The sequence below is a fragment of the Homo sapiens genome, chromosome 8 (genome assembly GCF_000001405.40).
Source record: "Homo sapiens chromosome 8, GRCh38.p14 Primary Assembly".
Lineage (NCBI taxonomy): Eukaryota > Metazoa > Chordata > Mammalia > Primates > Hominidae > Homo > Homo sapiens.
The window spans coordinates 2,614,133-2,628,067 of NC_000008.11; the positions used below are offsets into that span (position 1 = coordinate 2,614,133).

Genomic DNA, 13,935 nt, shown 5'->3' on the forward strand with positions numbered 1-13,935 from the left:
TTCCTGAGGCCTCCCCAGAAGCCTACCAGATGCTTATACCATGCTTCCCACACAGCCTGCGGAACCGTGAACCAATTAAACTTTGTTTCTTTATAAATTACCCAGTCTCGGGTATTTCTTTATAGCAATGCAAGCACAGCCTAATACAATTTCCTAGCAAAATTCTCCCTCCTGTGACAAGATAATTATGTTCTAAAGGATAAAGTCTAGGTTTGTTCCAGGCCCTGGTCATCCATCTGGGTCATCCCTATGTTATAGGACAAATCTGCTCTTTATGTCTTTAAATGTCTTTCTAATATGTTTTTTATTATTCTCACAATGTGTGTCTGACACACACAGATCTTTAATGAATTGATCATCTTGCATTATGTACAAAAGTGTAATCACTGAAGTGAACAGCTGTCATCAAAGAGTTTCCATGTTCCACCACACGTGTTGTCCATTTAAAGACCCCTCTGTCCCAAGGGCTATGCCTAGAAACACATTTAAGGATTGGCTATTCCCTAGAGTCACTGCAGAACAAAAACCCTGTCAGCACTGGAGCCCAGCCTGGTTGGGAAATGATTTCAGTTATATCAGAACTAGATTCCTCAAAGCACAAAAATGTTCAGAAGCTTAAAAATTTTCTCAATATGTTAGTTATAATTTTTTTTTAATTTTATATTTGCTTTCTAGAGTCTGAAAGGAATGTTAAATTTTTCTGGGAATTAGTACAACTATTGCTTACAAACTATTTTAAATAGCTGTATTTCCTCAATTTCTTGGGCTTGAGTTTTGTCTAGAAATTACAGTGAGAAAACTGCAAGTCCTCGTGTGCAGCGGTTGGCCCTTTCAAGGAGTCTGCAGTTTGCAATGACGACCATCCTGCTGCGGAGACCAACAACAGCAAAATTAACACACAGAGAGAAGAGCAAAGTGGAGTCTTCAAAGCATTTGTATTTGTAGGATGTAACTGAGGAAGAGTTAACTCCATAAGATAAGATAGCAGTTATCAAATCCTCGAAGGACTGGTCTGTTAGATAGGCATTCTATTCACTCTGAACCACTCAATCAGCTGGAACCAGAACAACAGAGTGAGAGCAACTGAGAGATGATTTCAGTTTCATATTAGGAAGAATTGGACAGCAGTGATCTCGCAGATGGTATCATTGGCTTCAAAAGGTTCTCAGTCCTGTGTCTCTGCAGGTATTCAAGCTGAATGGCCTTTGGGAAGAGATACTATTGGGAAGGATTGAGTGTCAGATAAGATGGACTCACTGAATGCCTTAAGAACATGCCAGTCATTTTAAGGGGAGAAAGTGCAGTAAAAATGGAGGATCCTGTGGAAAGGGCTATGTCCTACATTCTTTAACATACTCTCAAAAGCAAAAACACACACTGATGTCTACCTCAGTGCTGAAGGACAAAGACACACAGTGAAATCAAAGCACACCTATCACAAACCACACGTTACTCTCAGAGGCAGGGGCTGCTCCCTACCTCCTATCCCAGGTACTGTGTGCATGGCATTGAAGAAGAGGGGGTTCAAGTGTCGGGAACATGAAAATAAGAAACCGGAAAATACTGGACAAATTGAAACAAAAAGCGTTTTCATTGACTTTTTTAATATTGTGGGGGATGCTATATTCCTGAGCAATTTATACTGCATTCATCTAGGATTTTTCAGTTTAGAAACAGCGTCACAAGAGGTGATAAACAGCAAAGCATAAAACACCATGAGAAGAGCTATAATTCAGCACCTAAGAGGTTGGTGAACCAACAGGAAGATAACTCTCATCCTGGGAAATCTTCTGTTACAGGCAGTGAGCACAGAGTGGGACGATTAGCAATGGCAATAGCAGCAACAGAGGCCACAGCTGGACTGCAGGTCCTGACAAGGCATAGACCTAGGACAGTGTTGTCTGGGACACCAAGGCCTGCTCAGGAGGCTGAGTGGCAGCATCGGTCAGCGGGGGGGACAGTGCAGAGGAAGAGAGTGCGGATAAATGAGTATGAGTTTAGCAAACTAATGCAGGCACAGAAAACCAACGACCACATCTTGTCACTAATAACTGGGAGCTAAATGAGGGGGACACATGGACACAGGAAGGGGAAAAACAGACACAGGGGCCTACTGGAGATTGGAGGGTGGGAGGAGGGAGAGGTCAGAAAAGAGTAGCTAATGGGAACCAGGCTTAATACCTGGGTGATTAAATAATCTTTACGACAAACACCCAGGACATGGGTTTACCTATAGAACAAATCTGCGCAGGTACCCCTTAACTTAAGATAAAAGTTAACAAAAACAGAGAAAGCTGCTGCTAGATACCTAGACTGTAAAGGCGGAAATGAAAATTAGGCATGTGTCTGCAGAATGTGCACAACTATTCACCCATGGGGCCGGTGCATGACAGGTCAAGGATTCATTTAGCCATGCTGTGTGCATGCGTGTGTGGATGCATGTAACATAGATAAAAGTATTTCTTTTTCTTTTCTTTCTTTCATTTTTTTTTTTTTTGAGACAGAGTCTCACTCTGTTGCCCAGGCTGCAGGCTGAAGTGCAGTGGTGTGATCTCAGCTCACTGCAACCTCCACCTTCTGTGTTCAAGTGATTCTCCTGCCTCAGCCCCCTGAGTAGCTGGGACTACAGATGTGCACCACCAAGTTTTGCCATGTTGGCCAGGTTGGTCTTGAACTCCTGACCTCAGGTGATCCTCCCACCTCGGCCTCCTAAAGTGCGGGATTACAGGTGTAAGCCACCACATCTGGCTGCATAAAAGTATTTCTTAAAGAATCTGGTTCTTTCAAATATACAAGTTCCTTCAGAGGTCAGGCTCTCAATTTTTTCTTCTGCATATCCTAGCCTTTCTCAGCCCAAAACTGCAGCACCTCACCACCTTCCATTCTGCCTCTACTTCCTCCATTTGTCTGTGAGCATCAGACCTCACATTAGTCTTACCCATTGGACACTATGACTGCCTAACTCCCCCAAATGGGAATCCCTCCACTCGTCTTCAGTGCCATTCCAACAGCCCACCCTTGACAGCCACCTCCTCTCTCTTCGCAGACTCAGACATCTCACATCCAAGCACTCTGCTCCCTTGCAGCAATCTCCTCCTTTCTTACTTACACACTCCACATCCCATCAGTGAAATTCCTGCACTCGTTTGAGTCTTCTCTCATCTCTCTGCAAACCTCTCAAGATCTCACTGTCTCCCAGCCTCAAGTTTCCCCTTATTCCGCTGAGATTCCACTGTCCATCATGAAAGTTTTTCTCTTGCAGAGAACCTCCCTTGCCTCCCCTCTCCGTATTTCTCTGTGGTAGTAGCCTGGCAAGGCTCTCGCTGCTGAAATGCAATGCTACCTTCTGCAGCCCCGCCCTCGACACCCTATCTTCTTCAGAGACTGCTCCATTTTTGTCCTCCTTCACATCAAAACTTACTTTAAAAGTTACTTTTAGGCCAGTCACTGTGACTCACAACCTGTAATCCCAGCACTTTGGGAGGCTGAGGTGGGAGGCTTGCTTGAGGCCACAAATTTGAGACCAGCCTGGGCTACAGAGTGACACCGCCTTTCTATATACAAAAATAAAAAATAAAAACAACTTATTTTTAAGGTCTCTTTTTCTTATGCCATATTCTCTCCTCAATCCACTCAAAGCTGGCCTCACTTCTCACTGTTCCAGTTCCAAAGAGAATAAATCTGCCAGGGTCTGCAGATACCTCCTCTACGTCTTCAAATCAAACAGTCACGTCTGCCTTTACAGCTGACATCAGGGACGCATATTCCACAGGAGTCGCCACTCTGCTTAGCGAGTGTCTTCCTTTCACTGACTTCCTTTTTATCTTTCTCCGTTGTCTGTCAAAGGTCCTGCCTGATCACGCAATAGTTAAATGCTGTGGCTCTCCCAGGGACCTGTTTGGGGTCCTTTTCCCCTCTGACACACACATTATCTGCAGTTGATCTATCCAGTTTAATAATTTTAAATGCCACATATTTGTAATGACTCTCCGAAGTCCAGGTTGACCTCTCCTTATCCTTATCTAATGAGAATCTCAAACTTTGCAGCTCAAAACAAAGTCTTTATTTTCATTCATCCTGAATCCTACACCATTTCATTCTCCCCCAGATCTGTGTAATGTCACCATTAGGAATTTAATTGCCTAAGCCCAAAATAAGAGTTATCTTTGATTCGTCTTTCCATTTCCTCATATTCAATTAATTGATTCTTGTCCATTCCATCTACAAAACATTTCCAGATATGTCTAATTTTTTGACCTCCACACTGCTCCAAATCCTCATAATCTATCTTAAATTAATATAGCAGTGTTCGAAATTATCTCTTTTCTTCTTTATGTCTCTCTTGAAAATCTTCTATTCAAGCAAACAGTCAGAATAATTTTCCTTTTTTTTTTTTTTTTTTTTTTTTTAGACAGGATCTTGCTCTGTCGCCGAGGTTGGAGTGCAGTGGCACGATCTCAGTTCACTGCAACCTCTGCCTCTTGGATCCAAACAATTCTTGTGCCCCAGCCACCAAACAAGCTGGGACAAGCCACCATGCCTCGCTAGATTTTGTATTTTTGGTAGAGACGGGGTTCCACCATGTTGGCCAGGCTTGTATCGAACTCCTGAGCTCAGGTCATCCACTCACCTCTACCTCCTTTAATGCTGGGATTACAGGCATGAGCCACCACACCCAACCCCAAAAATCATTTTTAAATGGTGTCAAACCTTGTTTAAAATATGCTAAAGGCTTAAAATAAACTCAAAATTCTTGGCCTGGATTAGGAAAACCAGAGCAATAAAAATAAACTTAAAAATATGACCTCATCTTAAAACATCCTCCCTTTTCACTCACTGCACTCCCAGACAAGCAAGCTTGTTGCTACAGTGTCTATATAATACGCATGCACATAACACCACATGTGTTCACATCAGCTCCTCCCTCAGCCGGAGACACTGGCTTTCCTTGTGTAGATCATTCCTTCCATCACTCGGGTACTTCTGAGAGAGATTCTCAGACCATCCAACCTGAAGAAACCATTCAACCATATTTTTACTATTGGTTTATTAGCTTACTGCATTACTTTTAACGGCGAAAACCTCAATAAATTTTGCACCAAGCTAATACATCATCTCTCCCATCTATTTTAATTTCTGATATAAAAGGAGGTCCTCTCTCAGGTCATAATTGAAAAACTTTTTTCAAATGCGTCTCCTAGAAACTCCTAACAGCAGTAAACAACTCAAGGAAAACTGTTATAGATTGAAGATCATTTAAACTACTTGGGAAAGAAAGACTCCCATATTTTTTCCTTCCTTTGCTTTGTTCTTGGGTACTCATTGTCAAGGATGAAATGTTCCATTTAGCTTTTAAGTGAAAGCCTTTAGGCATTCATTCAATTATTTTTAAACAAACTTGACTCCTTATGTATTATGTACCAAGCACTGTTTATGTCAACAAAACAGACAAGGATCCTGGCGTCAGGGAGCTTCCGCTTTAGTCTGAGAAGCAGATAAGAAGCAAGCCAAAACAATGTTGAATTTTTACACTAAAAAAAAAATGCTCTGTCGGACCTCTCATTCTCTAATATACACAACCTTGTGATTGACAAGTTTCCCACAGAATATGTTTTATCCAGCTGGGTAAGATAAGAAAATCATTATTGTCAGGATGAAACTAAGAGGATCCACATATTACTGTATTATCACGGTCTGAATCAGCAGCAAAATGAAATATGCAACTCCCCAAACTATGCCTCTCATCGCCAGTGTACTACATAAGAAAGACAAGAACCCAGTTTATGTTCAATATCTTCTATGTCTAGAATGCTGTTTAGATAATGTTTTAACTAGGCAGTATATTACTTTTATGAGGCAACTAAATTCTCACAGCCATTCAATAAGCTACTTTTAGTCTAATAATCCACAACTGAATGTGGTCATGGTTTTTTGCAGAAGTTAAAAGGTTTAAACACACCAAGGAATTTTAATTAAAGCATAACAAGGGTCAAGTGCCACCTACAAGGGCAATAGGACCTGTGTGAGAGGGATGTGGGTGGGTGCATTGGGTTCATCACCTTCATCACTTCACAGGTGCCCATAATTTTGTGCTTCGTAGGCAGAATTGCATAACATGTTTACATCAACTTTGTAAAACCGATGGTAATACCCAATGTAACAGATGAAGAAAAGAAGAGAGACTGCATGAGTTCCTCAAGTCTATATTGGGTGGCCCCATAATACAACCTGGCTGTTGTCCTTAAAGAAGATGGTGAAGTGGCATCATCTCACACCAAGAAGATTAAGGACACAGACACACACTAGGAGTGAGTTTAGGAGCAGAGGTTTAATCTACAAAAGACGGAGAAAGGAGAGAAGCTCTCTCTCTCTTGTGAGAGATTGGTTGCACCAGGTGTGATGTTTACATAGCACGTGGGCAAGGCTGGTCACCCCACCCTAATCTTATTATGCACATGGGGTCTTTGCCTGACTGGCACCATATTGTCTTCCTACTGTACACATGGTTTGGCAAAGAGATGGGAAGATGGAGCCACCATTTTGAACATGCCTAGTCCCAGGTAGCCTTTCCTTATTGGCACAACTGCTGGCATTTGCCTGTACAAGCTCCCAGCTTGCTTGTCTATGTCTGTAGCTTGATTTTACAAGCTGCTCTTTGTTAGAAAAGAAAATGATTTGGGGGCTACTTTTCATTAAAAGGAAAACCTTACCTAGGACTCCTGTATCCTCACTATCTGCCTAATTGATTTCTTCTTAACTCCTATATCAATGGCAATATATAGTCAGAGACACTCATGAAGGCAAAGATTGGAGTGGTGAAGCTGCAAGCCGAGGAATGTCAGAGATTGCCACCAAACCATCAGAAGCCAAGAAGAGGCCAGGAAGGATTAGCCCCTACAGCCTTCTGAGGGAGGGGGCCTTGCTAACACCTTGATGTTGGACTCAGAGCCCCCGAAGTGTGAGGCAATAGATTCTTGTTGTTTTGGATACCCAAATAGTGGTACTTTGTTATGGAAGCCCCAGGAAATTAACACACTAGGCTTAGACCAAGAAGTCTTAGACCAAGAAGTCCCCATGGCCCCGGGGATTCGAGGTTAGGCATTTGGATGGATTCTAAAGATCACATTCATATATTTAAGGATGGATTGGATGTCAGGTATGTGATAAAGACAAAATCAAGGTTTCTGGACTAGGAAACTGGGAGTAAAGTTGCCATTTACTGATTTGGTGAAGACTTTGAAGGGGCAGATTTAGAGGGAAACCAGGAACCTTATTTTATATGTGTTAACTTTCAGGTGATTATTAGACACCCACATAGATATGAATTCAGGGAGAGCTACATGAGTCGAAAGTACAAATGGAATTAGAGACATGCAAATGTGATTGCACAGCAAGTGACACTAACTAGAGAAGAGGGAAGCCACAGGAATGCAGCCCCAGGGCATTCCAGCATTAAAAGCTTGGAAGATGAGAAGGCCCCAGCACAGCAGAGGAGGAAGGGGAAAACAAGGAAGAGAGTCAATAGAGAATGGAGCCCAGAAATCAAGTAACGATGGAGTTTTCAGGAGAAAGTGATCAACGATTTCAAATTATACTAATAAAACAGCACTCAGAGTCTGAATGTTGATCTTTAGATTTGGAATGTTAGAGGCAGTGGTAACAACAGTAAGTGCCATTTTAGTGGCCTGGAGAGGAGAAGAGCCTGATTTCAGTGGATGGAGGGGAGACTGGTGAGGTCAATTCCAAAGAAGTGTGAACAACTCCCTAGGAATATTTTCTGCATAGAGTAACAGAAGAATGGGAAGTAGCTGTCATACCACATGTCTCAGAAAAATGAACAGTGAAGTCAAAGCATGAGAGTGGAATGCCTGCAGCATAGGAGGACAACACAGGCTTCCGCAAAGACAAATCAATGGAATTTTTCTCCCTAGGTACAGATTTCAATGGGACATGCACAGTGAGAAATTCTAGTACCAACCATTTTTTCCAAGGTAAAGGTACCACTGAATGTGCTATGGGTCTACACACATGGTATATACGCAAAAAATGATAATTTTCATGAGGACGTTTTCTTTACAATACTCTAAATTAGCTAAGTTGTGTTTTCTTTTCTTCTCCGTTTTCCTTCCTCCCTCCCTCTTTCTTCCTTTGGTCTTTTCTTTCTTCCTTAAATCTTGAGCATATCCATCTACAATTTAGTATAGAAGTATGCAAATATAATGCGAATATGAATTACCAACCTTAGTGTATTCTGTTTCAAAGACATTAATGTATTCTAAGTGTCAGGGTTTGTGGAACACAGAGAATACTGTGCAGAATTATGAGGTCTATAAAATATTTCAACTTGATCTTCTCAGGTAAAGGTGAGAAAACACAAATTGCTGTCATTAATTTGATTGTATCTTCTGACATTCTTAATTGCCTTTTGGAAAGTTGAACTAAATATCATTGATGTCATAAAAATTTTTTGTTTATTAAAAATAATTTAAAAATTGGAGTTCAAAAGTAAACCTCTATTAAAGGAAGACAAATAATGTCATTAGTACTCAATGAGAAAAGAAGCTAAAAAATAATTATAGAAAAGGAGCACAAATTTTCATTAGTTTGCATTCTGCCTTTGATAGCTGTTCTCCAATGACTGCTTGCAATTCAGTCTCAGATGCATGTCCTATTTTTGCATTCCATCTACCTCCAGTTTCTTTCTTGTTTACCGACAGAGGCATGAACATATTTTTTCTTTCCAGATAATTGAGGCTTCAGTGATTCTGATAAAGTATGCTGTCTTTATATGCAAAATTTAGAAATAATTTTAAAAACTTGAACAGAAGGCTAAAAAATAGGGAAAAAAATAGAGGCTAACTTGATGAGAAAGCATGTAATTAAATCTTGTGAAATATAACTTCTATACAGAAGAATGCAAATAGAGCATAATGAATATTATAAACACTTTTGTTGACAAGAAAATAATGTGAATACCTCACATTTTCTGCTGTATTGTCTTTCCGATCTCATATTTCTTTGCCCCTAAAAGTGACCATAACCCTGAATACTACAAACACTTCCTTGTTATAAAGACACTTTTGCCGCCTACATATTCATCTCTAAAATACACAGCTTAATTTTGTCTGTTGTAAACCTTCATATAAATGGGTTCATACTGACCTCACACCAGTCAAATCGAGCATCTGAGGAAGAGCACTGTTGGCGTTCAGCGAGGAGGGAGGCGCCAGGAGAGAGCGCTGAGGCGCCAGGAGAGAGCGCTGAGGCGCCAGGAGAGAGCGCTGAGCGCCAAGCGCTGAGGCGTGGAGACTCGAGGTGGCGGCCGAGAGTAGGAAGCAAAACAACGGGACGGGACTGACTCGGGGCAACAACGACTACCCATTGTGGGGAAAGGTAAGTGAGAAGTCCCATGCAGTCCACGCTCCCACCAGGGACATCTACAAGTTGGCTGCAGGAGTGCCTCTTGGCCCTCACAGTCTACGAGCCCAGAGCAGGGAGATGCCAGCCTCGTTCCAGAGGGAACCGTCTCTGTTCCTCTCCACCCCCAGCGCAGTGCCATCTGGCGGTGGGGGCCGCATCACTGCATCTGGCCCCGGGGCCCCACAGCCCCTGCCTCTCCACATCCCGGGCCGGACAGCATCCTCCTGAGTCCACTCAACCCTGAACCTATGAAACTGCTAGAAGTAAACAGGGGAAACACGTTAGGACGTTGTTTCTGGACAAATATTTTATGGGTGAGACTTCAAAAACACAGGCAACACAAACAAATAGAAATAGGGACTATATTAAGCTAAGTAGCTTCTACACCGCAAAAGAAACAATCAACAGAAGAAAGAGAAAACCTGCAGAATGGGAGAACATATCTGCAAACTGTTCACTGCCGTGGGGCTAACATCCAGAATATGTAAGGGACCCAACAACTCCACAGCAGAACAGTAATTCTGTTAAAAATGGGCAAATAATTGGTATAAATATCTCTCAAGAGAAGATATAGAAATGTCCAACAAACATGAAAAAATGCTAAATATCACTAATCAGGTAAATTAAAATTAAAACCACAATGAGATATAATCTCACTCAGAATGGCTATTATCAAACACACACACACAGACACACACAGAGATAAAGGCTTGTGGAGATGTGGAGAAAAGGGAACTCTTATACAATGTTGGTGGGAATGTAAATTAGTACAGCCATTGTGAAAACAGTATGGAGGTTGCTCAAAAAACTGAAATTACATCTACCGTGTGATCCAGCAATACCACTGCTGGGTAATTATCCAAAGAAAGATATATCAGCATATCAAAAATAATATCTTCTTCCCCATGTTTATTACAACAGTATTCACAATAACCAAGATATACAGTCAACCTCAACACCCACCAATATGTGAATGGAGAAAGAAAATGTAGTATATATTCACAATGGAACACTATTCACCCATAAAACGAAATGAAATTCTGTCATTTATGGCAACAATGATAAGCCTGGAGGATGCTGGGTTAAATGGAATGAGCCAGACACAGAAAGATAAATACTACTTTTTCACTCATATGTTGGAGATTTCAAAAAAAAGGTGGAGCTCATGGATATAGAGAGTAAAATTTTGGTCATTAGAAGCTAGAAGGGGTAGGGTTGAGGGGAGGTTAGAGAGTAGTTTGTTAACGGATACAAAATTACAGCTAGACCGAAACAATAAGTGCTAGTGTGCTATAGTCCTGTAGGATAACCATAGTTAAAAGTAACTAATTGTGAGTTTTCAATTAGCTAGAAGAGACGATTTTGAGTATTCCCAGTCCAAGGAAACGATAAGTATTTGGTGCGATGTATATACTAATCATCCTGGTTTGATTTTTACACATTGTATGCATTTATGACAACCTTACTCTGAATCCCATGCATTATGTGCAATTATTACATCTCAACTAAAAAATAAAAGAAAAAATAAAGGAGATGCCATAGGTGCAGGGGAAAAATGAAAAGGAAATATGAAAAAAATCACCACTTTATATCAGTTTATAAAACGATTCAAAGAAGCATTGTCTTTGCAAAATACAGATTTTATATGAAATGATAATAGAGAAATGAAGACTCAAACAGTACTGAAGTATCACCCCATAATACCTAGGCCTCAAATTATACAAAGGAACATAAATAGTGTGAAACCAGCAGAGTCAGAAGTGATATTCACACACAGCGGACTCTGCAGAGAAAGAGGCACTTGGGACAGGGATCATCCCAGCTGTGAAAGAACAAATACAAAATTCCCCAGAGAGAGAGCTGCGATAAAGCGAAAAGTGCAGTGTAGAGCTCTGGAAAGTGATAGATGCATCACCAGATGCTGAGGAATCTAATGGACCATTAAGTCAAAAGAAGAAGAGAAGAAGCACAGTGATCTTTGAATCTCCTTCTTTGAGGGTATAGTGGAGTATGGGTTATTTTCTTATCAAAATAAATTCCTCAAATTGTGTTTATTACATGACAACACTGTACATGTACTAAAATAATATCATGTATACCAACATTACCAGATTAGGCACTCAACCCACCCTTCCCAACTCAGAGGAGAGCAGCACCCAGAGAAAAAATAGAACATATGTAACGTTACATCTCAGCAGTGCAGAATTCCTTCAGCAATATTTGAAACCGTAAACTGAGGCTTCTGTAAGGTACTTTTCTGAGTGATTCTTTTGCTAACCGAGCAAGAAAAGCAGTTTTCCCGCATTGAATTAGTTATACCATATTTGTGACAGCTGAAGAAATATATTCAAATAGCCTCTTTTAAGACTATTATTAGTCCTTTAGTGTAAATAGTTGTTTTGATGGGTTTGATAACTTGAGAGCATTGGAAGTACTATGATGAGTCAAATAAGACACCTGATTTAAAGGGACCTTTCCTGGCCGTTTATGACTCCATGAATGTTACCAATATTGCTCAGTGTATTCCGGGAGTCTGTGCCAAGGTTGAAGTAACTGAATAGCTGCACATACCACTACAGTTGAAAACATGTGTAAAGAGGTTGAGAAATTCAGGATAATGTGAAGTGGACTCTGCTAAGATGTGTCCCAAATGATGGTGTTGAAAATATACATAGAGGAGAGAAATTTTTAGACAAATATATAAAGTTTGTGAAAATGCAAAGTGTTCAACATTTATGACTTATTAATTGTATTGACTTATCGGCACGTATTTGCCAGAAAATATTTGAACTTATCATGCATTACTAAACCAGTGCAGTCAGCCCTGTCTATAAATATTTGTTAGAAAGAAAAGCTAAATATTCCAACTTGTGCTACTGCACACAGGAATTGGATGGCTAGGTAAAAGCCATTTCAGAAAAAGACTATTCAAAGACATAAATATATTTACAGGAAAAATATAAAACTACAGAAAAGTACAGCTGTTAGAGTAGGCAGACAGCCAGACATAAGCAGGAGATGGGGATCCCTGAGAAAAAGAGGTCTGGAAAATCTCTCACCCCGGGGACCACCCGAAACCTGCATGCTGGGTATATGCAGAGAGTGGGGGAAATACCTAGGCAGGAAGGAACGCCCCTTAAGATGCCCAGCAATTGCTCACTCTGCAGTTAACCTGTTGGAATGCAGCTGGGTGTCAGTTGATAAGGGGAAGAGGGCAAGGAAGAAATTCCTAGGCAGTAACACAGGCACCGTTTGTATACAACACTGGGCCTGTGCACGTGCAGCAACTAATAGTAAGGGAGGGTCCCACAAACCTGGGGAGGAAACTCGGTAGGGAGAAGGGGGGTTCTTAAGGCAGGAGTGGAAACACTAGTCAAAGAAAAAAGGAGGGGACTGAAGGCAGAGGCGAGAACTTCAAGAGACTATTTTTCATCATAAAATCCCAACACAGAACTCAGGCTGCTGTGGGCTCACTCCCCTCAGCAGCCAGTTCTGCCTCTTCTTTTCAGCATGCACTGTCTCTCTCAGTAAATTCTCTGCTGTCTATTTTCCTTTAATTTTTTAAAAAATTTTTTTGACAAACCAGTCACTTGGCAGAATTCTTTCTCCAAGAATAAGAACTGATGATTCCTGCGCTTTCCTGTAACATGACAAGGGGAGAAAAACAGTATGAGCATCTTAAATGGCATTCCAGTTTAGAAATTACACAACTGAGCCAAGGGTAGTGGCATCCCAGCTACTCAGGAGGCTGAGGCAGGAGGATTTCCAGAGGCCAAGGGTTTGAGGCTGTAGTGGGTTATGAGTGCACCACTGCAGTCTAGCTTGGGCAACAGAGCAAGATGCCCTTTCTAAAAACTAAATGAATAAATAAACAAGCAAAAGGAAGGGAGGGAGGGAGGGAGGGATCATAGCAAAAAAATGTTAGAAAAAGAAGAAATAGAGTATTTGATATTTATTTTAGGAATAATTTGGAGTTAATAAATAGATTAATAGAAAACTAAGGAAGAAAAAAACTAAGGATATCATAAACATATAAAAATGTACATAAAGACAAAAAAATATAAATAGTCTTAAATTTGGGGGATATATATTGCTGTGTAAGAAACCATCCCAAATCATTGTGGCTTAAAACAACATGCATTTTATCTGGTCAAAGCTGTTAAAGGCTTAGCCATGTTTTCAGGGGAAGAAACATGAACTTTAACTACTGGTGAGGGGAGAGATCCTCGTACCAGGAGAATTGCATGGAGATCATATCTGGAAACCTCCTACTGCCCAAGACAGAACCATAAATCCAAATGAGCAAGCAAAGAAAATAAACCACATAGGATGCAGACAAACAACAGAAACAACAGCAATGTAGCAAATACATGTAAGTGTGTAGCCTGTGTCCAGTGTGTAGCATAATGGGCACAGTAAATACACATGAATTTGTAGCTGAATATGTATCCTGTCTCCAATCATGAAGAAACAATTAGAGATTTCGAAAAATCCAGTTGTGACACAGACCAAAAG

The 13,935-nt window shown here is 40.8% G+C and overlaps 1 long non-coding RNA gene across 2 annotated transcripts in view; it reads right to left on the minus strand.

Annotated features, from left to right (window-relative positions):
* Positions 1–13,935, minus strand: part of LINC03021 (long intergenic non-protein coding RNA 3021) — a 198,360-nt gene that overhangs the window by 84,041 nt on the left and 100,384 nt on the right. The window contains exon 1 of one of the 2 annotated variants that reach the window (NR_125423.1): positions 9,163–9,233. The exons of the other annotated variant lie outside the window; for it this stretch is intronic. This is a non-coding gene — a long non-coding RNA (long intergenic non-protein coding RNA 3021). Of the gene's footprint in view, positions 1–9,162; positions 9,234–13,935 lie in introns of those variants that run through there. 2 annotated transcript variants of the gene reach the window in all.